This window comes from Homo sapiens, chromosome 9 (genome assembly GCF_000001405.40).
Source record: "Homo sapiens chromosome 9, GRCh38.p14 Primary Assembly".
Taxonomy (NCBI): domain Eukaryota; kingdom Metazoa; phylum Chordata; class Mammalia; order Primates; family Hominidae; genus Homo; species Homo sapiens.
Genome location: NC_000009.12, coordinates 128,158,335 through 128,183,397, shown reverse-complemented (window position 1 = coordinate 128,183,397; position 25,063 = coordinate 128,158,335). Strand labels below are relative to the sequence as shown.

Sequence of the window (25,063 nt, the reverse complement as noted above, 5' to 3'; positions counted from 1 at the left end):
CTGGTCTAGTGTCTAACCCGCCCTGCCCTCATTTTTTTACGTATGGAAAAACCCAGGCTTAGAGATTGGGGTGCGGTTGGTCCTGCGCCCCACAGCTGTCTAGGTGGACCCAGAGCCCAGGCCTCCTGACTCTCAGGCTGGTGCCTGTTTCGTGCAGGGTGACAGCTAGGTAGTTTCTGAAGGGCAGAGTATGGATGTGTCCAGATTACCATTCCCTGCTCAGTGCTCATTCCTTGGGCTTAGCAGGAGGGAGGGAGGGAGGCTGCAGGCTTCTGGTGGCCTCCTGGGGTGCCTTGGACTGGCCAGAGAGAGCTGTGTGTTCATTTAGCAGACATCTGGAAGCCCCTGCAGGGGACTCCCTGGTGCAGATGATACATCTGGCCTGGCCCTCCCTGAGGTCTTGGACAGGAATGGGGAGGGTGGTGAGAGATATTAATGCAAATAATGCTCCAACCAATTAATTAAGACTGTGGAGGCCGGGTGCAATGACTCATGCCTGTAATCCCAGCACTATGGAAGGCCAAGGCAGGAGGATCAGTTGAGCCCAGGAGTTCGAGACTAGCCTAGGAAACACAGTGAGACCCTGGCTCTATGGAAGAAAAAAAAAAAGAATACAGAAATGCCACGAAAAGGAAGTAGGTTCTGGACCCATTCTGGAGTCTGGAGGGCTTCCTGCAAGAAGTGCTTCTGAGGCTCTAAGTGAAGGCCTAGGGGCAGGGACGGGCCTGGGGCTTGACCAGAGAGAAGGCCAAGGTAGATAAGCAGAGAGGGCTGGTTGCGGGGGCATGGCCGGGGCAGGTAGTGTGCAGAGGCCCGTTTGTGCAGGGAAGGGGTGGGTGTGCAGAGTGTTTTCAGGCTTGGCGTAAGGCGTGCACCAGGGCTGCAGGAAGCCATGGGAGGGCTTTAAGCCTGGAAGAAGAGACATGATCAGCTTTGCATTTTAGAAGGACCCCACTGGGCCAGGTGTGGTGGCTCACGCCTGTAATCCCAGCACTTTGGGAGGCCGAGGCGGGCAGATCATCTGAGGTCAGGAGTTTGAGACCTGTAGGGACCAGCCCCACAGGGTCGGTGCGTCTCTCCCTGTGTGCGGCGACGAGAGAGTGTAGAAATAAAGACACAAGACAGAGATAAGAGAAAAGGCAGCTGGGCCCGGGGGACCACTACCACCAATGCGCAGAGACTGGTAGTGGCCCCGAATGTCGGGCTGCGCTGTTATTTATTGGATACAAGGCAGAAGGGGCAGGGTAAAGAATGTGAGTCACCTCCAATGATAGGTAAGGTCACGTGGGTCACGTGTCCACTGGACAGGGGGCCCTTCCCTGCCTGGCAGCCGAGGCAGAGAGGGAGAGGAGACAAAGAGAAAGACAGCTTACGCCATTATTTCTGCATATCAGGGACTATTAGTATTTTCACTAATTGACTACTACTATCTGGAAGGCAGAGCCAGGTGTACAGGATGGAACATGAAGGCAGACTAGGAGCGTGACCACTGAAGCACAGCATCACAGGGAGACGGTTAGGCCTCCTGATAACTGCGGGCAAGCCTGACTGATGTCAGGCCCTCCACAAGAGGTGGAGGAGCAGAGTCTTCTCTAAACTCCCTCGGGGAAAGGGAGACCCCCCCCCCCCCCCCGCCTTTCCTGGTCTGCTAAGTAGCGGGTGTTGTTCCTTGACGCCTTTTGCTACTGCTGGACCATGATCCGCCTGGTAACGGGCGTCTTCCCAGACGCTGGCGTCACCGCTAGACCAAGGAGCCCTCTGGTGGCCCTGCCCAGGCATAACAGAAGGCTCACGCTCTTGTCTTCTGGTCACTTCTCACTATGTCCCCTCAGCTCCTATCTCTGTATGGCCTGGTTTTTCCTAGGCTATGATTATTGAGTGAGGATTATCATAATATTGGAATAAAAAGTAATTGCTACCAACTAATGATTAATGATACTCATATATAATCATATCTAAGATCTATATCTGGTATAACAATTCTTGTTTTATATTTTATTATACTGGAACAGCTCGTGTCCTCTGTCTCTTGCCTCGGTGCCTGGGTGGCTTGCCACCCACAGATACCAGCGTGGCCAACATAGTGAAACCCCAACTCTACTAAAAATACAAAAATTAGCCAGGCGTGGTGGCGTGTGCCTGTAATCCCAGCTATTTGGGAGGCTGAGGCAGGAGAATTGCTTGAACCCAGGAGGCAGAGGTTGCAGTGAGCCGGGATTGTGCTATTGCACTCCAGCCTAGGCCACAAGACTGAAATTCTGTCTCAAAAAAAAAAAGGACCCCACTGGCTACTTCATGTAAAACTGGGTGGGAAGTCAGGTCAGGAGGTAGCACTGTGGCCAGGAGAAGGCTTTGTGTCCTCCAAACCTGGGTTTATTTAACAGACAACTAGGTAGAATCCCCTAGACACCATGGTTGGGACATTTTTACTAAGATCATCCACTCGGCAACTCTGGGGCCAGGCCCACCAGAGGTCCTCAGGGCCCTGTCATCCCCTGGAGGATGGGGGGCAGCTGCCCTTGGGCAAGGGGGTATTGATAGGGGTGGGTATTGGATGTCAACATAGTTTCTGAAAGGAAGCAGGATTCTTCTTCTCAGACAATGCCTGTGGAAGACAAGTCAGACCCCCCAGAGGGGTCTGAGGAAGCCGCAGAGCCCCGGATGGACACACCAGAAGGTGAGGGAGGGAGGCTGCTGGCCCTTCAGAGGGACATGAATGGGGTGGGGCCAGTGGGCGGGTCAGCAGGTGATAGAGGCAGGTGTGGGAGGCAGGGGTTCTTGGTGGGAAGGCGGGGAGCCCAGGCCCCATCTCTTGGAGGTCAGAGATGCTTGCTCTTCCCAACATGAGTTCCCTCGCTCATGCCTCCATTCCAGACCAAGATTTACCGCCCTGCCCAGAGGACATCGCCAAGGAAAAACGCACTCCAGCACCTGAGCCTGAGCCTTGTGAGGCGTCCGAGCTGCCAGCAAAGAGATTGAGGAGGTAACTGATGCTGAAAACCTGACCTGCGCCCGGGTGCCCTGTGCTCTCATTCCTGCAAAGGCAGGGGTGGCAATGGCAGAGGGGGTGCACCATTCAGTGGAGCTGGAGCAAGGAAAGGGCCTTGGCCTCTGATTTGGAGGAAGGCCTTACTTATTTCCGCACCTGACCTGGGGAAGCTCCCAGCCAGACTCTGGTGTCTTCCTTGAGACTGAGCCACCTGGGGGCCAAGCTGGATGGCTGCGTGGGAGGGGTGAAGACGTTCATCTGGGACCGTAGTGGGCAGGCCATTTACAAAGCCAATTGGATACATGTCAGCAAGTTGTGGGAGGTGAGAACGATCCTCCCCGGTTTATTTAGGTGAATCTGAGGCCTAGACAGCCAAAGGAGTTTGCCCAAATCCCCAGCCTGTAAGTGGTAGAGCCAGCATTAGAAACCAAGTCTTGGGCTGTATGTGGTGGCTCACACCTGTAATCCCAGCACTTTGGGAGGCTGAGGCGGGCGGATCACCTGAGGTTGGGAGTTTGAGACCAACCTGACCAACATGGAGAAACCCCGTCTCTACTAAAAGTACAAAATTAGCTGGGTGTGGTGGCGCATGTCTGTAATCCCAGCTACTCCGGAGGCTGAGGCAGGAGAATCGCTTGGACCTGGGAGACGGAGGTTGTGGTGAGCCGAGATCGCGCCATTGCACTCCAGCCTGGGCAACAAGAGCGAAACTCCATCTCAAAAAAACAAACAAACAACAACAAAAAACCAAAAACAAACAAAAAGAAACAGTCTTGGGCTGGGCGCGGTGGCTCACACCTGTAATCCCAGGTTTCACCATGTTGGTTAGGCTGATCTGGAACTCCTGACCTCAAATGATCCACCTGCCTCAGCCTCCCAAAGTGCTGGGTTTACAGATGCGAGCCACCACGCTCGGCCTAGTTTTGGCCTTACTTGGGAGCCCCTGGGGCCTCTTTGAAGACATGACTGGGATTTTTTTTTGATCCTTCCTAGCTCAGAAGAGCCCACAGAGAAGGAACCTCCAGGGCAGTTACAGGTGAAGGCCCAGCCGCAGGCCCGGATGACAGTACCGAAACAGACACAGACACCAGACCTGCTGCCTGAGGCCCTGGAAGCCCAAGTGCTGCCACGATTCCAGCCACGGGTCCTGCAGGTCCAGGCCCAGGTGCAGTCACAGACTCAGCCGCGGATACCATCCACAGACACCCAGGTGCAGCCAAAGCTGCAGAAGCAGGCGCAAACACAGACCTCTCCAGAGCACTTAGTGCTGCAACAGAAGCAGGTGCAGCCACAGCTGCAGCAGGAGGCAGAGCCACAGAAGCAGGTGCAGCCACAGGTACAGCCACAGGCACATTCACAGGGCCCAAGGCAGGTGCAGCTGCAGCAGGAGGCAGAGCCGCTGAAGCAGGTGCAGCCACAGGTGCAGCCCCAGGCACATTCACAGCCCCCAAGGCAGGTGCAGCTGCAGCTGCAGAAGCAGGTCCAGACACAGACATATCCACAGGTCCACACACAGGCACAGCCAAGCGTCCAGCCACAGGAGCATCCTCCAGCGCAGGTGTCAGTACAGCCACCAGAGCAGACCCATGAGCAGCCTCACACCCAGCCGCAGGTGTCGTTGCTGGCTCCAGAGCAAACACCAGTTGTGGTTCATGTCTGCGGGCTGGAGATGCCACCTGATGCAGTAGAAGCTGGTGGAGGTAAGTGAGCACTGGCTCCCAGCTGGTCTGGTGATGGGACAGCTCTGCCCAGACCCTTCATTCCTCCCCTGACTGGGTGCTGCCTGGGACTGAGGGCTAGGCCTGGAACCCAGGTCCAGGGCCATCCATGCTGGGGGCCTCAAGGTTCTGGCTGCGGACGGAGAAGGCAGCTCTTGGGCCTGGGGACTCTGGGAAATACAGCACATCTGTCATTTCAGGCATGGAAAAGACCTTGCCAGAGCCTGTGGGCACCCAAGTCAGCATGGAAGAGATTCAGAATGAGTCGGCCTGTGGCCTAGATGTGGGAGAATGTGAAAACAGAGCGAGAGAGATGCCAGGGGTGGGTAGAGGCCCTGATGTGGCAGTGTGAGGGCCACAGAGCCCAGCAGGGTGGGATGGCCTCTTTCTGCCCCAGGCCACCTCAGGGCCTCCTTGTGTTTCCCCCACCGTGAAATGGGATGACAGCCCTCTGCCTAGGATGGGTGGCCAGACCAGGCTGGGCTTGATAGTGGTGTGCATGGGACCCTCTTGCTGTTGTGCTGTCTTCACATCCGTCCCTTCCAGCCTGCCCATCCCCAAGCCAGAGCCCCAGTCTCCTCGCATGGGTAATGTTGCTCTCGTGGAGAGAGCACAGAGTGGAAGCCTCTCTGTGGGATTTGGGTCCCAGCTCTGCGTAACTGTGGGCAAACCCTTTCCCTCCTGAGTCTGTTTCCCCATCTGTCATACAAGGGGTGGGATGAGTGGTACTTTAGGCCGACCTGGGTTCGCATCCTGACTGCAGTGCTTTCTAGCTGTGCAAGCTGGGGTAGTCAGCTAACAGCTCAGAGCCTCAGTTTCCCTATCATCAGGAAGATCTGATGAGACAACGTTGGCAGATGTTGAATGCTGGGCTGGCCCACTATAAGTACACAGTTGATGGAAGTTCAGTTCCTACTCCCCATGCAGGTATGGGGCGCCGGGGGCTCCCTGAAGGTCACCATTCTGCAGAGCAGTGACAGCCGGGCCTTTAGCACTGTACCCCTGACACCTGTCCCCCGCCCCAGTGACTCCGTCTCCTCCACCCCTGCGGCTACCAGCACTCCCTCTAAGCAGGCCCTCCAGTTCTTCTGCTACATCTGCAAGGCCAGCTGCTCCAGCCAGCAGGTACTGATACAGGAGATAAGGGTGGGGAGGGGTGGGGCCTGCGTGGAATGCCCAGCCTGCCCTCCCAAGAATGCCTCAGGCTGCAATGGGCCCTGCCCCAAGCAGCCATGCATTTGCTTGGGAAACATTTCCTGACCTGCCAAGAAGGCAGGTTTTGGTGGTTTTGTTTTTTGTTTTGAGACAGGGTCTTACTCTGCCTCCCAGGTTGGAGTGCAGTGGCATGATCTCAGCTCACTGCAGCCTCTACCTCTTGGGCTCAAGCAGGTTTTTAGAGTCAGTCAGACCTGGTTCATATCGGCTCTGAGTAGCTGGGAGACCTTGGAAAGCGAATTCCACCCTGTGCCTGTTTCCTCTTGCATCAGACAAAGGAAAGTTTAGGGTCGGGCACAGTGGCTCACGCCTGTAATCCCAGCACTTTGGGAGGCTGAGGTGGGTGGATCACAAGGTCAGGAGTTTGAGACCAGCCTGAACAACATGGTGAAACCCCGTCTCTACTAAAAATATGTGTTGGCATGCTTCTGTAATCCCAGCTACTCAGGAGGCTGAGGCAGAAGAATTGCTTGAACCCAGGAGGCAGAGGTTGCAGTGAGCCAAGATCATGCCACTGTGCTCCAGCCTGGGTAACAGAGCGAGACTCTCAAAACGAAACAAAAAAAAGAAACGTTTAGAATCCACCTCACTGGGTGGTTCTGGGGATTCAGCAATGTGACATTGGAGTCCTGAGCGCAGGCCTGGCCCAAAGTGAGTGTAGCAGTAATCATGATCGCATTGTACTTGTATTACTACTCTTGTGCTGTGAGCTGTGTTACTCTGTGCCTCACCTGGCACAGCCTTGGAGACCTGGATGCTAATCAGGCCGCTCCTTGTCTTTGAGGCACTCACACATTCTCTGGGAGGGGCAGAAGCTCGGGCTGGCATGTACCCTGTGTCTTAGTTTATCATGCCTGCTCTAGCCTACACAAGAGAGAAATGTGTGGTGAGAGAAATGGGCGCACAGTGATGAGGCTGGGGTCTGCCTCCCCAGGCCCCAGCCTTGCCCACTGTTCTGGGCTCACGCCCCAGGCCCATCCCTCTTTCCCTCCTGCTGCAGGAGTTCCAGGACCACATGTCGGAGCCTCAGCACCAGCAGCGGCTAGGGGAGATCCAGCACATGAGCCAAGCCTGCCTCCTGTCCCTGCTGCCCGTGCCCCGGGACGTCCTGGAGACAGAGGATGAGTGAGTGGGGGATCGTGGAAGCTCTGTGTTGGGGGGTAGGCAGTCTCATCGGCCAGGGCCTGAATCTACCATCTGCAGGGTTTACCTTTGGGTTAAGCACTGCACCCCCAGCCAGGCCTCCTCACACTGTTAACTGTGTGACCTTGAACCTCAGTTTTCCCTGCCTGTAACATGGCTTGGTGACGGATATAGTACAGGAATTCATGACATTCTCTTAAGGTTCCCTCTAGGCAGGAACAGTATGACCATCCCTGTGGGAGAGGACAGGTTGTGGCACAGACTCTTGCCCCCTGTGGCATGTGTGCTAACCCCGCTGTGGGGTGACAAGGCTGAGGATCAGGTTCTTTTGTGGTTGGAGGTTAGGGTTTCCCTGTGTCTCCCCCTTTCATTGTCATGGGAGCCTGTTTAATCAGAAACTTCAGCCCTCCTGGGGTCTGGAACTATACTGGGGTGGGAAGGCCTGGCAGGCAGCCAGAGGTGCTTTCAGGACTCTGTGGGCAGTCATAGAGGTGTGCAAGGGCTGGGATGTGTCATCTCAGCAGCAGGACCATGTTAGCTAGGGCCACAGCGGGGACACAGGCTCTGTCTCAGGAGACAGCTGCTTCTCATCTCTGGATCTCTTAGTTTTAAGAAGAATCCAGAAATCCAGGTTTGTATGTGAAATCTCCCAATTTCAAAATGTTAACAGCTAGTTCAGAATTGAAACAAAACAAACCCTACGGAGAGCAAATCAAACACTTTCATAGGCTGGACGGTCCCTTGAGTCAGTGGTCACGGGCTCTGTCCTAATTTTACAGAGGTCACAATTTGAAGCTTCCAGGTGGGGCTGAGGGGACAGGAAGGGCTCTTGGTTGGCCTCCGCTTGCCTGCCTTGTGTGACAGGGGGCTCTCGCTCTGCAAGGGCAGGCTGTGTCTCTGTTAGCTGTTTCTCCCTTTGAGAAGAGCGTCCTTGAGTGGTTTTCTACTTGGTTGAAATAATCATAAACACAGGAGAATGATGACTCACCAAGACGTTCTTTGCTATTAGTATCATGATGAAAAAATCTAACGGGAAATGATCTAAAATACTCGAAAGTAGGGGACTGGTTAGATGATGAAAAAGCCCGTCCAGCTCGTGGAACAATGAATAAATAGAATAACTGGAGAATTTATAATAATGTGGAAAGGTGATGCAATGTCAAAGTAAAACAGGATTCAAAATTGCATCTGCAGAATGAGCTTGTTTGTGTAAGAATAGATCTTGTGACACAGAAGAAAACTAAAAGGACATACGTAGCACAAGCTGTTAACAAACTTGAGGTGTCGGGGATTCATCAAACCCTCTCCCAATGTTATCTCTCCATGAAGTCTTCTCTTGAATCCTACTTGGCCCTGAGGCCATCAAGAACATTATGGTCAGGCGCAGTGGCTCAGGCCTGTAATCCTAGCACTCTGGGAAGCTGAGATGGGCGGATCACCTGAGGTCAGGAGTTCAAGACCAGCCTGGCCAACATGGTGAAACCCCCTCTGTACTAAAAATACAAAATTAGCTGGGCATGGTGGTGCATGCCTGTGATCCCAGCTACTCGGGAGGCTGAGGCAGGAGAATTGCTTGAACCTGGGGGCGGAGGTTGCAGTGAGCCGAGATCGCGCCACTGCACTTCAGCCTGGGTGACAGAGAGATTCTGTCTCAAAAACAACAACAAAAATTTAAAAAGTCCCTCCAGTCCCTACCTACGACCCCCTCACCTTGGTCCCCAACACAAAGACATCAATACTGTCTTCCTGCATCAGTGGGGGTTCTTCGCGGTTGTAAGTGAAAAAAATTCTAATTTCTATAAGACAGAAATTAGCTTGAGCAAAAAGGAACAATGTTTCTGGCTTAGGTTAGTGGGAATATAAGAGATACAGCTGGACCCAGGGGATACCATTTCTTAGAGAGGCTCCATCTCTCACTACAGTGGGCACCAGGTACCCACAGCCCCAGCCTCCCTGCACAGTGACTTCCAAGGAAGGGCAGTCACCTGTGTCTGCGGTAGCAGAACAGTTTCTAGTGGAAATGCTGGTTAATCTGATTGTGGTCACGTGCACGTTTCTGAAGCAATCCCCTGGCCAGGGATAAGGTGTTCTGACTGGCTAGGCCTAGGCAGGCCAGCTCTACCCAAACCACATGGAAATACATTTCCCCATGGAAGGCAGGGGGGTGTTCCCAGGAATGGGGCTGAAGGCTGGATCCCAATACCCTAGCTGGTGGGGGTGCCCGTCTCCTCCCTCCTCAAAGCCCCCAGGGCAGGTGCTGTGAACTAAGCCCTTGCCTACCTTAGCTATTTCTTTGTTTTTTTTTTTTGTTTTTTTGTTTTGTTTTTGAGATGGAGTCTCGCTCTGTCACCCAGGCTGGAGTGCAGTGGCGCGATCTCGGCTCACTGCAAGCTCCGCCTCCTGGGTTCACGCCATTCTCCTGCCTCCGCCTCCCGAGTAGCTGGGACTACAGGCGCCTACCACTAGGCCCGGCTAATTTTTTGTATTTTTAGTAGAGACAGGGTTTCTCTGTGTTAGCCAGGATGGTCTTGATCTCCTGACCTTGTGATCTGCCCGCCTTGGCCTCCCAAAGTGCTGGGATTACAGGTGCAAGCCACCATGCCCGGCCCGCGTTGGCCGTTTCTGGGCAGCCTCAGACGTGACACTGGCACAAGGTGTCTGCCTGTTTGATGACCATGTTCTCTCCCCACCCCCTTTCTTCATTTGTTGTGTTTTTCTCTCACAGAGATCAAAATGCACATTGAAAAATAGAGCCAGGCTGGCATGGTGGCTCACACCTATAATCCCAGCACTTTGGGAGGCTGAGGTGGGGGGATTGCTTGAGTTTAGGAGTTCAAGACCAGCCCGTCATGAGACCTGTGTCTCTGTAAACTATAAAAAAATTAGCCGGCCGGGCGCGGTAGCTCACGCCTGTAATCCCAGCACTTTGGGAGGCTGAGGCGGGTGGATCATGAGGTCAGGAGATCGAGACCATCATGGCTAACACGGTGAAACCCCGTCTCTACTAAAAAATACAAAAAATTAGCCGGGCGTGGTGGCAGGCGCCTGTAGTCCCAGCTACTTGGGAGGCTGAGGCAGGAGAATGGCCTGAACCCAGGAGGCGGAGCTTGCAGTAAGCCAAGATCGCGCCACTGCACTCCAGCCTGGGCGACAGAGCGAGACTCCGTCTCAAAAAAAAAAAAAAAAAAAAAAAAAAAGAAATTAGCCAGGCCTGGTGGCATGCACTTGTAGTCCTGGCTACTTAGGAGGCTGAGGTGGGAGGATTGCTCGAGCCCAGGAGGTAGAGGCTGCAGTAAGCCTTGATCATGCCACTGCACTCCAGCCTGGAGCAAGCTGCTTTAAAGTCTGATTTTGTTGCTTGCAGCAGTATTAAGAAGATTTTACTGAGGACAGTAAATGTCCCTAAATCCTAAAATCTAAAACCTGGTACTCTCACTGTGTGGCTGATGTGCCTTTTTTGACTACAAAAAAATTTTTTTTTCTGATTTTAAAAATAATTCGCTCATTATATAACGTTTTGAAAATACAAGGACACAGACACATGAGAAGATAAAAATCACCCATAATCCCATTACCCAGAGATAAACACTGTTTACATTTTGACCTAGTTCTTCTTGTGATCCTTTCTGGATTTATACAATCTTTAAAAATAAAAATCGGAATCATGCTACATGACAACACGAACACTTTCTGTCTCTAAGCAGCCCTCCCCAGCAGAGCTCTTACAGGGCTTTATCAGTGGACATGTGTCCCCTAAAATTTATGAAAACTTGTGTATTTGCATATTTTATAGAGAGTCCTTATTTTCGCTGAGTGAGACACTTTTTTTGGTTTTTTTTTGAGAGGGAGTCTCGCTCCGTTGCCCAGGCTGGAGTGCAGTGGCGCAATCTTGGCTCACTGCAACCTCCGTCTCCCAGTTCAAGCAATTCTCCCGCCTCAGCCTCCTAAGTAGCTGGGATTACAGGTGCCTGCCACAACGCCTGGATAATTTTTTTGTATTTTTAGTAGAGACAGGGTTTCACCATGTTGGCCAGACTGGTCTTGAACTCCTGACCTCAGTGATCCGCCTGCCTTGGCCTCCCAAAGTGCTGGGATTACAGGCGTGAGCCACCATGCCCAGCCAGGGTTTTACATGTATTTGGCTTTTCTTTTTTCTTTTTTTTTTTTTTTTTTTTTTTTTTTTTTGAGACAGTGTCTCACTCTGTCACCCAGGCTGGAGCGTAGTGGTGTGATCACAGCTCAATGCAGCCTCAGAACTCCTGAGCTCAAGGAACCCTCCTCCCAAAGTGCTGGGATTACAGGCGTGAACCAGCGGTATGCCCAGCCTTGGTTTAAGAAGCTGCCTACATAAAGGATACACTCTGGCCAGTGATAGCACAGCCCTTGTCATTGACATTTGTTTGCTTTTTAATTTTCTTATATCTTTCAACATGTAGAAGTTTTAAATTTTTATGCAATCGGATCTATCAGTTTTTTCCTTTATGATTTCTGGCTTTGATGTTATATGTTGCAATGATCTTTCCCAACCCAAGATTAAATAGTTGCTCTCCCCTTGTAAAATAAGTATTATTTTATTTATTTATTTATTTATTTTCTGAGACGGAGTCTTGCTCTTTTGCCCAGGCTAGAGTGCAGTGGCGCGATCTTGGCTCACTGCAACCTCCGCCTCCTGGGTTCAAGCAATTCTCCTGCCTCAGCCTCCCGAGTAGCTGGGATTACAGGCGCGTGCCACCACACCCGGCTAATTTTTTTTTTTTTTTTGTATTCTTAGTAGAGATGGGGTTTCACCATGTTGGTCAGGCTGGTCTTGAACTCTTGACCTTATGATGTGCCTGCCTTGGCCTCCCAAAGTGCTGGGATTACAGGCGTGAGCCACCGTGCCCGGCCCTATTTTATTTTATTTTTTGAGACCGGGTCTCTCTCTGTCACCCAGGCTGGAGGGCAATGGTGATCTCGGCTCACTGCAACCTTAACCTCCTGGGCTCAAGGAATTCTCCCACCTCAACTTTCCAAGTAACTAGGACTATAGGTGCACACCACCATGCCTGACTAATTTTATTTTATATAGAGACAAGATCTCACTATGTTGCCTAGGCTGGTCTTGGACTTCTAGGCTCAAGCGATCCTCCTGCCTCAGCCTCCCAAAGTGCTGGGATTATAGGCATGAGCCACTGCGACTGGCCCCCTTTTTATTTATTTATTATTTATTTTTGAGACAGCGTCTTGTGTTGCCCCAGCTGGAGTGCAGTGGCAGTCATGGTTCACTGCAGCCTCGACCTCCTGGGCTCAAGCAATCCTCCCACCTCAGCTTCTGAGCAGCTAGGACTACAGGCATGTGCCACCAAACCCAGCTAATGTTTTTTATGTTTTGTAGAGATGGGGTCTTGCTGTGTTGCTCAGGTTGGTCTCAAACTCCTGGGCTCAAGCAGTCCTTCTGCCTTGAGGACTGGGATTACAGGTGTGAGCCACTATGCCCGGCCTCCCTTTTTAAAGTATATGGTTTTTATTTTTATGCCTGAATCTCTGGTAGTTCAGCTAGAATTCATTTTCAAGTAAGGTAGAAGGTGGAAGCAGAAGGCGTTTCTTCTCCAAGTAGACAACAAATTGTTCTGACATAATTTGTTGTATAATCTATGCTTTTCAATACCAATTTATCAGAAGCAGAATTCTTTTTTTTGAGATGGGGGTCTCACCCTGTCACCCAGGTTGGAGTGCAGTGGCGCTATCTTGGTTCACTGCAACTTCTGCCTCCCAGGCTCAAGCCATCCTCCCACCCCAGCCTCCTGAGTACCTGGGACCACAGGTGCATGAGCCACCATGCCTGGCTAATTTTTTGTATTTTTGCTAGAGATGGGGTTTCCCCATGTTGCCCAGGCTGGCGAAGCTGAATTCTTACCAATATTTGAACCTGTTTAGGACTTTCCATTCTTTCCCACTGATACACTGTCAGGATGTACATCACACTACACAGTTTTATCTATTGTAGCTTGTGGTTTTCATTTTAAAGGTTGGTATCCCCAGTGCTTCATTCCCCTTCCCCCTAAAGTTTCCTGGGTTATTTCTGCTTAAGTACTCATCCAGATGAACCTCAGAACCATTTTGTTAAGCTTCCCTAAGAGATCCTGTGGGAGTTGCTATTGGAATGGATTACACTTATGGAGCGCTCTCAGACAGCTGCTGTCTTTCTGGCGTCACATTGTACTTGCTTTGACTGTTGTCATTCAGGGAGCCTCCACCAAGGCGCTGGTGCAACACCTGCCAGCTCTACTACATGGGGGACCTGATCCAACACCGCAGGACACAGGACCACAAGGTAGGAGGGCCTGCACGCTGCAGAGGCACCCGCACTGCCGTCTGCAAGTGGAGTCCAGACAACACAGAGCCCCAGTTGGAAAGTAAACGTTCCTCTTTGCCCCTGCACACCCATAACCCACAATGCAGTTTCTGGAGGAGTCAGTCTTGTTTCTTCTTCGGGCTTCAGGTTCCCCATCTGTCCAGTGTAGGCCAGGCCCCATCTCACCTGCCATTCAGCCACGGGGCTCACAGGGGTTATTTGGGCAGCTGCCCTCTCTCTCGTCTTCTCTCTGTGTCTGTCCTGTCTCTGTGTTGCCATCTGCCATCCTATCTCTCAGCCACCCACACCACGAAGAGATGTGTTTGCCCACGTTCCAGTGCAGGGGTGGAGCACAGCCCGGCTTGTTACAGATATGGTGGGCCTGCCCGGGGGAGGTGAGCTCTTGCTGGGCCCTGCCTGGGTGCTAGTCAGGGGGCTTGCAGCTGGGGACACTGCTTGGTTGGCCTGCCTTTTTCCAGATTGCCAAACAATCCTTGCGACCCTTCTGCACCGTTTGCAACCGCTACTTCAAAACCCCTCGCAAGTTTGTGGAGCACGTGAAGTCCCAGGGGCATAAGGACAAAGCCAAGGAGGTAACCTGAGCTCCCTCAGAGGACATGGGCCCAGAGAGGTACAGAGCCTTGGCCAAGGCTGTGTAGCAAGTTGAGGTTTATCCCAGCCCAAACTCACAGCGGGTCTGGAGGGATTGGGACTCTCAGGGGAGGGGTGGGGTGGGTAGGGCATGGCCCCCTGGCTGTTCAGAGCTGACCTGAGCTCCTTGCCTACTCCCTGGGCAGCTGAAGTCGCTTGAGAAAGAAATTGCTGGCCAAGATGAGGACCACTTCATTACAGTGGACGCTGTGGGTTGCTTCGAGGGTGATGAAGAAGAGGAAGAGGATGATGAGGATGAAGAAGAGATCGAGGTTGAGGAGGAACTCTGCAAGCAGGTGCTGGGGGGAGGGTGTGGGAGGCGGGCTTGGTGCTGGATTCCCAGCCCAGGACAGACCTCATCCCACCTCCCGGAGGCCAGACACTGGGCTGGCATCTGTGGGCACTAATGCATGCCACAACTGATTACTGTCAACTGCCTTCTGCATGACTATGTAATTATGCATGATGACTAGAGAGTGGCAGTTAAAATATGCAAAGCCTGACTGAAATTTGGACCTGTGTGGAGGAAGGGAAAGGGAACAGCATCAGTAAAGGCACGGAGGTGGGAAACTATGTAGTGTGCAAAGGAAAAGTCAGATGATGGTGATGATAATGGAGAGACTGACAGCAGCAGACATCTTTTTGAGCACTTAGTGTGTTCCAGGTGTGTGTACCAAGCACTATCCTGGCTGAATCTCATCAGATTGGATGGCAGGAAGTAAAACTTCAGAGTCCATGTTTCCAATGCCGCAGCTACCCTGTCTCTCATGAATGAGGAGCTGGAGGAGCTTGGATTCGTTGCAGTTTTTTTTTTTTTTTCTTTTTTTTTTTCAAGACGGAGTCTCGCTCTGTCGCCCAGGCTAGAGTACAATGGTGCGATCTCAGCTCACTGAAACCTCCACCTCCTGGGTTCATGCGATTCTCATGCCTCAGCCTCCCAAGTAGCTGGGATCACAGGTGCCCACCACCACGCCCGGCTAATTTTTGTATTTTTAGTAGAGACGGGGTTTCACCATATTGGCCAGGCTGGTCTCGAACTCCTGACCTCAGGTGATCCACCCACCTCGGCCTACCAAAGTGCTGGGATTACAGGCGTGAGCCACCATGCCCAGCCAGATTCTTTGCAGTTTAACACGTTTCCAGAGAGTGTGTTCTAGGTCAGGCCCTGGTGCTGGAAGCAGGGACCCATGAGGGCCAAGGCCTGGTCCTTGCCCTCAAAGGCTGACCCAGTTATAGTCCAGGGTGGTGAGGGGCCAGCTGGGGCTGCTCATAGCCTCTGGCAGCCAAAGTGGGGTATTGAGGGGCTGGGGAGGAAGCGTTGTGGTGGGGGGGCCTGCAGTCCTAGGCAGGGTAGTATGAGGCCCAGCTTCATTGCTCAGTAGTCACATCATCTCAGGCAAGCCACTTGGCCTCTCTGAGCCTCAGTTGCCTCTGCTCAGAAGTAACAACCTGAACTTGGACTATCAGGGAAGCCCAGGGCCCACAGCTTGGTCCTAGGAAGGGCTTAGCAAACGGGGGTGGTTGTCCTTCTTGGAAGCCACATTTGTTTGCCTGGTGAGTGGTGGAGGGCACTGCTAGGCCTGCTAGGGCTGACACGGCCAGAGTCAGATGACCTCATCTCACATCCAGCAGGTGAAATGCAGTCTTTGATCCCTTGAAACCCACCCTCTAGGACCAAGGTCACTGCAGTATTGGATAGGACCTCAGGGAGTTAGCAGGGGGCTCATGGTTAAGAGTGTGAACTACGGCTTAGACCTACAGGGTTCCCTGCCCAGCTCCTCCACAAACCAGCTGTGCAACCCTAGACAAGTGAGTTAATGTCCCTGGGCCTCAGTTTCTTCTTAGTAAAATGTGTGTAGCCATAGAGGGCTGTTATGAGGATTCAGTCAAATGACACATGATGTCTTGGGCACACCTGGCGTGGATTATGGCGCCTGTAGGAGCAGGAGGGCTTCCTGGAGGAGGGGGCTAGTTGAACAGAGTCTAGAAAGTATAGATTGGGAAGAGCACTCTGGGAGGCAGGATCACCATGTGCAAAGGCTCAGAGAATGCCACCCACTACCTCCTGGAAATCAAGGGGATTCTGTGTGTCCAAGGGCATTGGTGGTCTCTAGGCCCCCGACCTGTGTCTGGGAGGTGTCAAGGGGAAGCCAGATCCGAGGCCCACACTTGCATGTTTTCAGGTGAGGTCCAGAGATATATCCAGAGAGGAGTGGAAGGGCTCGGAGACCTACAGCCCCAATACTGCATATGGTAAGGCCCCAGCTCTGAGCCCACCTGCAGGAGCTTCAGCCCTTGGGCCCAGCCTCCACATGACCCTCCCATATCCCAGCCATGGCATTCTGGCTGGGAAGCCTTCTCTTCTGCCCCTGCCTAGAGGGTTGGGGAGCACATGGGCCCCTAGAGAGGGAGGGACACCTCGCTGGTACAGGGATGTGAGTGCAGACCCTGCCATCCCATCCTACAGGTGTGGACTTCCTGGTGCCCGTGATGGGCTATATCTGCCGCATCTGCCACAAGTTCTATCACAGCAACTCAGGGGCACAGCTCTCCCACTGCAAGTCCCTGGGCCACTTTGAGAACCTGCAGGTGAGCCGGACATCCTGCCCTGTCCTCCCCTGGCCACAGACTTAGTCTTAATCCAAGCTGATTCGGGTGGCTAGTGGCCACTCCCTCTTGTGCAGGGCCTCAATCCCCAGGCACCACCCCTGCACCAACAGGGAGAGAATTAGAGCTGGGGTGGGGTTGGGCTCTTATTGTTCAAGGGGATGCTGAGTGCCAGGCTGTTAGCTCCAGAGACGGCCCAGAGAGGCCGAGTGCATCACGCAGGGTCACAGAGCACACTAATACTGTCTCAGCCAGAGCTGGGGAAGTAGCTGCTGGCCAGGAGCATACCATGTAGGGAGGAGACCCTGACCTTACCTGCACCTTCTGTATCCAGAAATACAAGGCGGCCAAGAACCCCAGCCCCACCACCCGACCTGTGAGCCGCCGGTGCGCAATCAACGCCCGGAACGCTTTGACAGCCCTGTTCACCTCCAGCGGCCGCCCACCCTCCCAGCCCAACACCCAGGACAAAACACCCAGCAAGGTGACGGCTCGACCCTCCCAGCCCCCACTACCTCGGCGCTCAACCCGCCTCAAAACCTGATAGAGGGACCTCCCTGTCCCTGGCCTGCCTGGGTCCAGATCTGCTAATGCTTTTTAGGAGTCTGCCTGGAAACTTTGACATGGTTCATGTTTTTACTCAAAATCCAATAAAACAAGGTAGTTTGGCTGTGCAGTTCCCACCAGTACTTCTGTCTGGGTGGATAGGGGAAGGGGGGCACCCCAGCCAACTCTCAGCCAGCACCCAGCCTCTCTGGGCCATGTGGTGGCAGAAACAGAAGGCCAGACAGGCTCCCTGGGAACCAGGGACTCTGGATCATGAGGCACTTCACCTGTCTGAACTTGGGTATCCCTCTTTTAAAAAAATTTTTAGGCGGGGCGTGGTGGCTCACACCTGTAATCCCAGCACTTTGGGAGGCTGAGACGGGTGGATCACCTGAGGTCAGGAGTTCAAAACCAGCCTGGCCAACATGGCAAAACCGTCTCCACTAAAAAATACAAAAATTAGCTGGGTGTTGTGGCGGGCGCCTGTAATCCCAGCTACTCGGGAGGCTGAGGCAGGGAGAATTGCTTGAACCCGGGAGGTGGAGGTTGCAGTGAGCCGAGATCGTGCCTGTGCACTCCAGCTTGGGCAAAAGAGTGAGACTCCATCTCAAAAAAAAAAATTTTAATTTTTGAGCCAGGCGGGGTGGCTCATGCCTATAATCCCAGTACTTTGGGAGGCTGAGGTGGGCGGGTCACCTGAGGTCAGGAGTTTGAGATCAGCTTGGCTAACATGGAGAAATCCCGTCTCTACTAAAAATACAATTAGCCAGGCATGGTGGCGCGCACCTGTAATCCCAGCTACTCGGGAGGCTGAGACAGTGAGGCAGGAGAATCGCTTCAACCTGGGAGGCAGAGGTTGCAGTGAGCCGAGATCGTGCCATTGCACTCCAGCCTAGGTGACTCCATCTCAAAAAAAAAATTTTAATTTTTATTTTTATTTATTTTTTGAGATGGAGTCTCGCTGTCTCTCAGGATGGAGTGCAATGACCCGATCTCAGCTCACTGAAACCTCCACCTCCCAGGTTCAAGTGATTCTCCTACCTCAGCCTCCTGAGGAGCTGGGATTACAGGTGCACACCACCACGCCCAACTTTTTGTATTTTTAGTATAGACAGGGTTTCGCCATGTTGGCGAGGCTGGTCTTGAACTCCTGACCTTAAATGATCTGCCTGCCTTGGCCTCCCAAAGTGCTGAGATTACAGGCGTGAGCCACCGCACATGGCTAATTTTTATTTTTTTGAGGCGGGGTCTGGCTGTGTTGCTCAAACTGGAGTACAGTGGTGCCAATCTTGGCTCACTGCAACCTCTGCCTCCCAGGCTTAAGCCATCCTCCCACCTCAACTTCCCGAGTAGCTGGGACCACAGGCGTGCGCCATCACGCCTGGGTAATTTTTTGTATGTTCTTGGTAGAGATGGTGTTTCGCCATGTTCCCCAGGCTGGTCTCAAATTCCTGGGCTCGAGCAATCCGCCCACTGTGGCATTCCAAACTGCTGGGATTATAGGTGTGAGCCACTGTGCGTGGCCAAGTTTCCCTCTTAATAACGTATCAGAGCTGGGGAAGTTCCTTTGGCTGGAGGCCTAGCAAGGTCAAGTGACTTGCTGAAGACCACGCAGTTGGTAAGTGGCTGGGATTTGACCCGGGCCTGAGCTCTCCGACCCATGCTGGCCTGTCTCTCCAGCTGCACCCTTTGGAGTGCAGGAGTGGGGTCCTTGCTGCTCAGGCCCTCTGGTTCTCTTCTTGGTTCACTAGCAGGCACCCCACCCTCCTGGTCAGGCGACCCTAAGATGAATCATGGGTGGATGGGGCCTGGGCTGAGTTGGCCCTTTACTTCTGCTATTTCCTCATTAGAAAGACCCATAGAGATAAACGACCAGACCAACCCTATTACTGGGGAGACAGGCCAAGAGTGGGAGGGCAATGCTGAGGCTGCATAGCATGTCTTAGCATGTTGGCTGTCTTGGTGAAAGGCCCTAGTACCCAGAGAGGCTGAGAGCATCACACAAGGTCACACAGCATGTCCAACAGTCTCAACTGGGCTTCTGGGCTAGGAAGCAGCTGCTGGCCAGGAATGTATCAGGTAGGGAGGAAGCCCTGCCCTCACCTGCACCTTCTGTGTCCAGAAGTACAGGTGACCAAGAACCCCAGCCCTACCACCTGGCCTCTGAGCCGCCAGTATAGGATCAACACCTGAACACCTAGACAGTCCTGTTCGCCTCCAGCAGCTGCTGGGGTTCTCGTCCTGGGATACAGAGGAGAGAGGCACAGCGGTGTGGGAGACCCATTTAATGTGGACACTCAAGGCCTGGGCAGAGTGGGGAGCGCCCAGGAGTTGGGTGGGCAGGCAAGTGGGTGGGTTGCAGGCCCACTCTTGGCCCCAGGAGGGCATGCCAGGTGGTGGGGGCTGGCCCAGGTAGGCCAAGGGGAGGCCCAGGCAGGAAGGGTGGCCCAGGCAGGCAGACCCACCAGGGGTCCCTGAAGGCCAGCCCTTGAGAAGGTGTCTAAGCCAGGGGGTGAGTGCCCAGGCCAGAGCCTAGCCCAGGGAGGCAGGGTTGGGTCCCGGTTGGGGGCTCTTGGAGCCTAGGGGCTGGCATCACTGGGGGCCTCCCCGAGCTGCTGCTGGAACTCCAGGCGTGTCTGCCGGTTGGACTCCAGCAGCTCCTGGAGGCGGGCGTGGAGGTGGTCATTCTTCTCCTCCAGGTGGTCCAGACAGGAGTTGATCTGGTCCAGCATGGAGTTGATGGCAGCGTATTCTGGGAGGAAGGCGAAAGACAGAGCCCAGATCCTGTGTCTCCTTGGGGCTAATGGACACCCTCCCTCCACTGTTTCCCAGCCTGCTTCCCAAAGGGCTTTGTGCAAGTCCCTACTGCTTCCTGAGCCTCAGTGTCACCGTCTGGAAAATGGGTGGAATACCAAAAGAGGAGTGGCTTTGAATGAATGACACTTTAGTACTGCATCCTTTTTTCTAGGGTTAGGGTGGTCATAGGGTGGCGAGCCAGTGTCCTACATGGGAAGTCCTGCCAGATGCCAAGTCTCTGCACTTCCTGCAGCAGCTGCTTAGTGGCCAGAGCCCACATTCCTGAGTTGGGCATTCAAGGCCTCTGTCCCCAGATGGGCCCTGTTCGCCAGCCCTTCTGTGGCTCCCTCAGGATAAAACACCCAGCGGAGTCTCCAGCCCCTGCCTCCTAGCTAGCCCTGCCTCCCTGCCTCTTCCTTTCCTCTCTCACACCTGCCTTTACCTACCTCAGGCCCTTTGAACATGCTGCTGTCTCTGCCTGGAAGGTGCTGGGTCCTCCCATCTTCCTTCCCTTCTCTCCTCCTGGATGAGTCCCACTCATCCTTCAAGTCTCAGTATGGATGTCACCACCGGGAGCCCACCCAATGCCCCAGACTGGATCAGGCCTCTATGCTGAGCCCCTAGCCCTCCTCAGCCCTCCACGACCTTCTCTCCAGGATTGACTGCTGTGCTTATCTGAGTGCTGTTATGTTTCCCCATGAAAGATGAACGGTCCTGTGTTCGCTGCTGGCTCCCTGGTGCCCTCACAGTTTTGCAATAAGCATTTGTTGAATGACTGAGTGAGTGAATGAATGAAGCCTCTGACTTTCCAGCCTCTCCGCCATTGCTCAACTATCCCTGCAACCTAGAATGCCTCAACCACAACAGCCCTTCAAGGACCAGCTCAAAATGCCTCCTCCAAGAAGCCTTCCCTGGTCTCCACTAGAAACCATCACTCCCTCCCCTCCACGGCCACTCCAGAGCTGCCCTGCTCAGCAACACAGTGTCCCTGAGGACTCAAGGTCTGGGCCTGTGCCCACTGCGGGACCCAGTTCTGAGCCAGCCCATGACTCACATACACTCAGCTGCCAGCTTGAGACCAAGGGGGAAGCAGCCGGTGGAGGAGCTGGAGGAGCGTATCTGGGTTATGGGTGCATATGTGCCTGTGTTCTAGGAAAGGGCACCCGTTGCCTAGAGCCAGCCACCCTCACAGACGACAGCGTCCTGGGAAATCGGCTGCATCTTAAAGTCCAACCCCCTCATGGTATATAGCTAGGGAAACCGAGGCCTCAGAAGGAAGGAACCTGCCCAGGGTCCTCCAGGTTGGTAACAGCCGAAACTCAGGATTGGACTTGGGGGTCAGGGTCACTTGGGTTTGAATTTCAGCTCTGCTTTACCCCAGCAAGTTGTACCTTTCTGGAAAAAAGGGAAAATAAAAAAGGTTGTGAGGATTCAAACACATCAAGAGTTCAGACAGTGGCCGGTGTGGTGGCTCACGCCTGTAATCCCAGTACTTTGGGAAGCCAAGGCGGGTGGATCACCTGAGGTCAGGAGTTCGAGACCAGCCTAGCCGACGTGGTGAAACATTGTCTCTACTAAAGATGTATAAAAATTAGCCAGGCGTGGTGGCAGGCGTCTGTAGTCCCAGCTACTCGGGAGGCTGAGGCATGAGAATCGCTTGAACCCAGAAGGCGGAGGTTGCAGTGAGCCAAGATCACGCCACTGTACTCCAGCCTGGGCAACAGAGCAAGACTCCGACTCAAAAAAAAAAAAAAAGCTCAGACAGGATCTGGCCACAGCAAGTACTTAGTGGATGGTCATTATTATCAATATTTCGAACTCTGTGTCCTGGGATACAGGCTAGGAGGAGGAATTGGGGAGGCAGGTGCCCCACACCCCTCCAGGCCAGGCTTTATCTGTGTCAAGGGTACTTCCCAGTTCCAAGCCTTTGCTTCTGCCTGGGACACCACCCTCCTCCCCACTGTTCTAAGTCCTGTCTGCCAACATCCACTTAATGTGACCTCCTGGGAAGCTCTTCCTGATGCTCCCAACAGCATTGCCCAATGCAGAGCTACCTGAAACTATTGTGATGGATGTACAACCCTGGGAATACACAAAAGCCTACTGAACTGTACAGTATGGGTAAGTTGTATAGCTCAATAAAGCTGTTACGCCAAACAAAACAAAGAGCATGCACCATACTTACACCACATTTACTAAATCCTCAGTGTATGTTAACATGCCAATCTTTACTATACCAAAGATAATAATGACGATAACCATTTACTGAACTCTTGCATGCTAGAACCTGCTAAGGATTTTCCTTTTTTTTGCATTTAATTCTGACACATCCCAGTGCAGCAGACACTAATCGTTATTCCTATTTTATAGAGGGGGAAACTGAGGCTGAAGAAGGTGAGAAGGGAGCCGATGGTTCTCTTCACACCCCACCCCTGCACTCGTAAGCACGCAAAAGGCTGCTCTGTAAGCTGCTGACATTTGGCAAGGCTGTGAGGCTACACCAGCAAAGCCGGGTGGCTGGGGATGCTGAATCGGCAGAGCGACGCCCCCGCGTCCCCAACTCCACGTCCCGGCCCGGCCCCTCCGCTAAGCTCAACCCTGCCTCCCTCAGGTGCCTCGGTCTCCCCCAGGACTGAAGGAAGTGGTGGAGCAAGGCCCACAAGGGCGAGTGTCCCCGAAGCTGCCTTAGTTTCCCCATCTGTAAAACGGGACTGGTGACCTGCAGCTCTCACGGGGCTGGGAACCGGCTCGCGGGTGCTCGCCCTGCATCCGAGACAGCACCTACAACTCCGGACCCGCTCGGGGCGGAATGGGTGGGCTCTTTGTTCCCTTCCGAGACCCCATCTCGATTCCCCTTCCCGGGAGGGCAGCCCTGAAAATGCAAGGTTGCTCCAGCAGCCCCCTCGGGTCACCTGCTTCCCCGAAGCCGTCCTCCTCGCCTTCCGCTCCCGCCTCCACCGGCATCCCCAGGTCTCCGTTGGGGCCCGACATTGCGGGCTCGGGCGCCCGAAGGGCCGCGCGACGATGGAACGCGGCGACCGTCGCGCCGAAAGCCGGCGCCGGATGGAAGGTGGAGGCGGCGGATAGAACACGGGCCGGAAGGGTAGAACGCGGCAGCAGATCTCCGCCCAGAGGCCGGTGCCCCGCCCCTGAAGCCGGAATCCCGCAGCTCCCGCTCCGCCCCGCCCCGCCCCCAGCCGGAACTCCGCCCCCGCCGCTGTTCTGGCCCCGCCCTACCTCCAGACTCCACCCCCACCACCGGACTCCCGCCTCCACCTCCCTCACAGTCGAACTCCGCCCATTCCGCCCCCGGCCTCGCCCCTCTCCCGGGCGCTGGGCGGGGCCACCACGGGGCTGCCCCTGGAAAAGCCCAGGAGTAGGGAGGTCCGGGAGGAGCGGCGGGAGACCGTCCAAGCCCATCTGCTGCTTCGGCCCCTCCGCGTTGGCGAAATCGAAAACGGGGTTTCCTTGTTATTTTTTGAGATAGGGCCTGGCCCTGTCTTCCAGGCTGGAATGCAGTGGGGTGATCTCTGCCTCCCAGCCTGAAGCGATCCTCCCACCTGAGCCTCCAGAGTAGCTGGGACTACAGACGGCTGCACCACGCTGGCTATTGTATTTTTTGGAGACGGGGGGGGGGGGGGGGGAGGGGTTTCGCCATGTTACCCAGGCTGCTCTCGAACTCCTGAGCTCGAGCCATCCACCCGCCTCAGCCTACCAAAATGCTGGGATTACAGGCACGAGCTACTGGGCCCAGCCTTGGAAACGGGGTTTCCACACCTCTTGTGGCTTCCGGATATACCTCTTGTGGCTTCCGGATATTCTTCTTCACAGCCTCGCTGAGAGTCACGAAGGGTCTCCTTCCTCTTTGCCTCTCTGCCTGCACCCCAGTGGAGAGGACCCAACACCCCTACCCCTGGATCTGGGCCTTCCTGGTCTTCAGCGCTTCTCTTAGGGCTCATTGGTTACAACCTGTGGGTGGGAATCAGGCTGGACTCCAGCTCTGGACAAGAGAAACAGGAACATTAGCTAGGCGGGGTGGCTCCCACCTGTAATCCCAGCGCTACGGGAGGCCGAGGTGGGAGGATTGCTTGAGCCTAGGAGTTGGAGACCAGCCTGGGAAACATAGTGAGACACCCTACTCCCACCCCCGCCCACTCAGCCCCCCCCACCCCCGTCTCTACAGAAAGCACAAAAAAAATTAGCCAGACCTGGTGGCATGCACCTTAGTTGCAGCTGTTTGGGAGGCTAAGGCAGGAGGATCACTTGGGCCCAGGAGTTCGAGGCTATAGTGAGCTATGACTGCACCACTGCACTACAGCCTGGGCAACAGAGTGAGACCCTGTCTTTAAAAAAAAAAAAATTAATTAATTAATTAAAAATAAAATGTTTAATTAGCCAGGTGTGGTGGTACACGCCTGTAGTCCCAGCTACTCAGGAGGCTGAGGCAGGAGAATCACTTGAACTGGGAGGCAGAAGTTGCAGTGAGCAGAGATCGTGCCCTTGCACTCCAGCCTAAGCAACAGAGCAAGACCCTGTCTCAAAAAAAAGAAAAAAAAAGGCCAGGCCTGGTGGCTCACGCCTGTAATCCCAGCACTTTGGGAGGCCGAGGCGGGCAGATCACGAGGTCAGGAGTTTGAGACCAGCCTGACCAACATGGTGAAAACCCGTCTCTACTAAAAATACAAAAATAAGCCGGGCGTGGTGGCGTGTGCCTGTAATCCCAGCTGCTCAGGAGGCTGAGGTGGGAGAATCACTTGAACCCACGAGGCAGAGGTTGCAGTGAGCTGAGACTGCACCACTGCACTCCAGCCTGGACAACAGAGCGAAAATCCGTCTCAAAAAATAAATAAATAAAAAGTTTGGCCTGGAGCAGACCTACCTTTGTTTGTTTGTTTGTTTTGAGACAGAGTCTTGCTCTGTTGCCCAGGCTGGAGTGCAGTGGCATGATCTCAGCTCACTGCAACCTCTCCTTCCCGGGTTCAAGCAATTCTTGTGCCTCGGCCTCCTGAGTAGCTGGGATTACATGTGCCTGCCACCACACCCAGCTAATTTTTTTTATTTTTA

General features: G+C 53.8%; 2 protein-coding genes across 8 annotated transcripts in view, besides 6 other annotated features; one reads left to right on the top strand and one right to left on the bottom strand.

Annotated features, from left to right (window-relative positions):
• Window positions 1-17,333, top strand: part of CIZ1 (CDKN1A interacting zinc finger protein 1) — a 38,158-nt gene extending 20,825 nt beyond the window's left edge. For 3 of the 7 annotated variants that reach the window (NM_012127.3, NM_001257976.2, NM_001131016.2), the window contains 12 exons: window positions 2,584-2,677; window positions 2,875-2,983; window positions 3,983-4,689; window positions 4,908-5,029; window positions 5,635-5,832; window positions 6,923-7,047; window positions 13,291-13,378; window positions 13,879-13,992; window positions 14,197-14,346; window positions 16,234-16,303; window positions 16,518-16,639; window positions 16,992-17,333. In NM_012127.3, coding sequence (NP_036259.2) covers window positions 2,584-2,677; window positions 2,875-2,983; window positions 3,983-4,689; window positions 4,908-5,029; window positions 5,635-5,832; window positions 6,923-7,047; window positions 13,291-13,378; window positions 13,879-13,992; window positions 14,197-14,346; window positions 16,234-16,303; window positions 16,518-16,639; window positions 16,992-17,201 — 2,109 coding nt within the window. In that variant the 3' untranslated portion in view covers window positions 17,202-17,333. Of the gene's footprint in view, window positions 1-2,583; window positions 2,678-2,874; window positions 2,984-3,982; window positions 4,690-4,907; window positions 5,030-5,634; window positions 5,833-6,922; window positions 7,048-13,290; window positions 13,379-13,697; window positions 13,776-13,878; window positions 13,993-14,196; window positions 14,347-16,233; window positions 16,304-16,517; window positions 16,640-16,991 lie in introns of all 7 variants that reach the window. The other 4 variants (NM_001131015.2, NM_001131018.2, NM_001257975.2 and 1 more) reach the window with 3 other exon arrangements.
• Window positions 4,473-5,164: an enhancer, noted in NCBI's record as "H3K4me1 hESC enhancer chr9:130940513-130941204 (GRCh37/hg19 assembly coordinates)". NCBI's record gives its function as "activates a minimal SCP1, AML or CMV promoter by ChIP-STARR-seq in primed H9 embryonic stem cells {active_cell/tissue: H9 hESC(primed)}" and the evidence as "EXISTENCE:reporter gene assay evidence [ECO:0000049][PMID:30033119]".
• On the bottom strand, window positions 19,474-23,133 carry BBLN (bublin coiled coil protein). The gene is made up of 2 exons (NM_024112.4): window positions 22,912-23,133; window positions 19,474-19,955 (listed from the first exon to the last, which is right to left on the bottom strand). Exons 1-2 carry the CDS (start codon window positions 22,988-22,990, stop codon window positions 19,783-19,785), a joined length of 252 nt encoding a protein of 83 aa, NP_077017.1. The 5' UTR covers window positions 22,991-23,133; the 3' UTR covers window positions 19,474-19,782.
• Window positions 22,325-23,278: an enhancer, noted in NCBI's record as "H3K27ac-H3K4me1 hESC enhancer chr9:130922399-130923352 (GRCh37/hg19 assembly coordinates)". NCBI's record gives its function as "activates a minimal SCP1, AML or CMV promoter by ChIP-STARR-seq in primed H9 embryonic stem cells {active_cell/tissue: H9 hESC(primed)}" and the evidence as "EXISTENCE:reporter gene assay evidence [ECO:0000049][PMID:30033119]".
• Window positions 22,325-24,232: a biological region, named in NCBI's record as "H3K27ac-H3K4me1 hESC enhancers GRCh37_chr9:130921445-130922398 and GRCh37_chr9:130922399-130923352".
• Window positions 22,884-22,973: a silencer, noted in NCBI's record as "silent region_20329". NCBI's record gives its function as "represses an Ori minimal core promoter by ATAC-STARR-seq in GM12878 lymphoblastoid cells {active_cell/tissue: GM12878}" and the evidence as "EXISTENCE:reporter gene assay evidence [ECO:0000049][PMID:35858748]".
• Window positions 23,184-23,393: a silencer, noted in NCBI's record as "silent region_20328". NCBI's record gives its function as "represses an Ori minimal core promoter by ATAC-STARR-seq in GM12878 lymphoblastoid cells {active_cell/tissue: GM12878}" and the evidence as "EXISTENCE:reporter gene assay evidence [ECO:0000049][PMID:35858748]".
• Window positions 23,279-24,232: an enhancer, noted in NCBI's record as "H3K27ac-H3K4me1 hESC enhancer chr9:130921445-130922398 (GRCh37/hg19 assembly coordinates)". NCBI's record gives its function as "activates a minimal SCP1, AML or CMV promoter by ChIP-STARR-seq in naive H9 embryonic stem cells {active_cell/tissue: H9 hESC(naive)}" and the evidence as "EXISTENCE:reporter gene assay evidence [ECO:0000049][PMID:30033119]".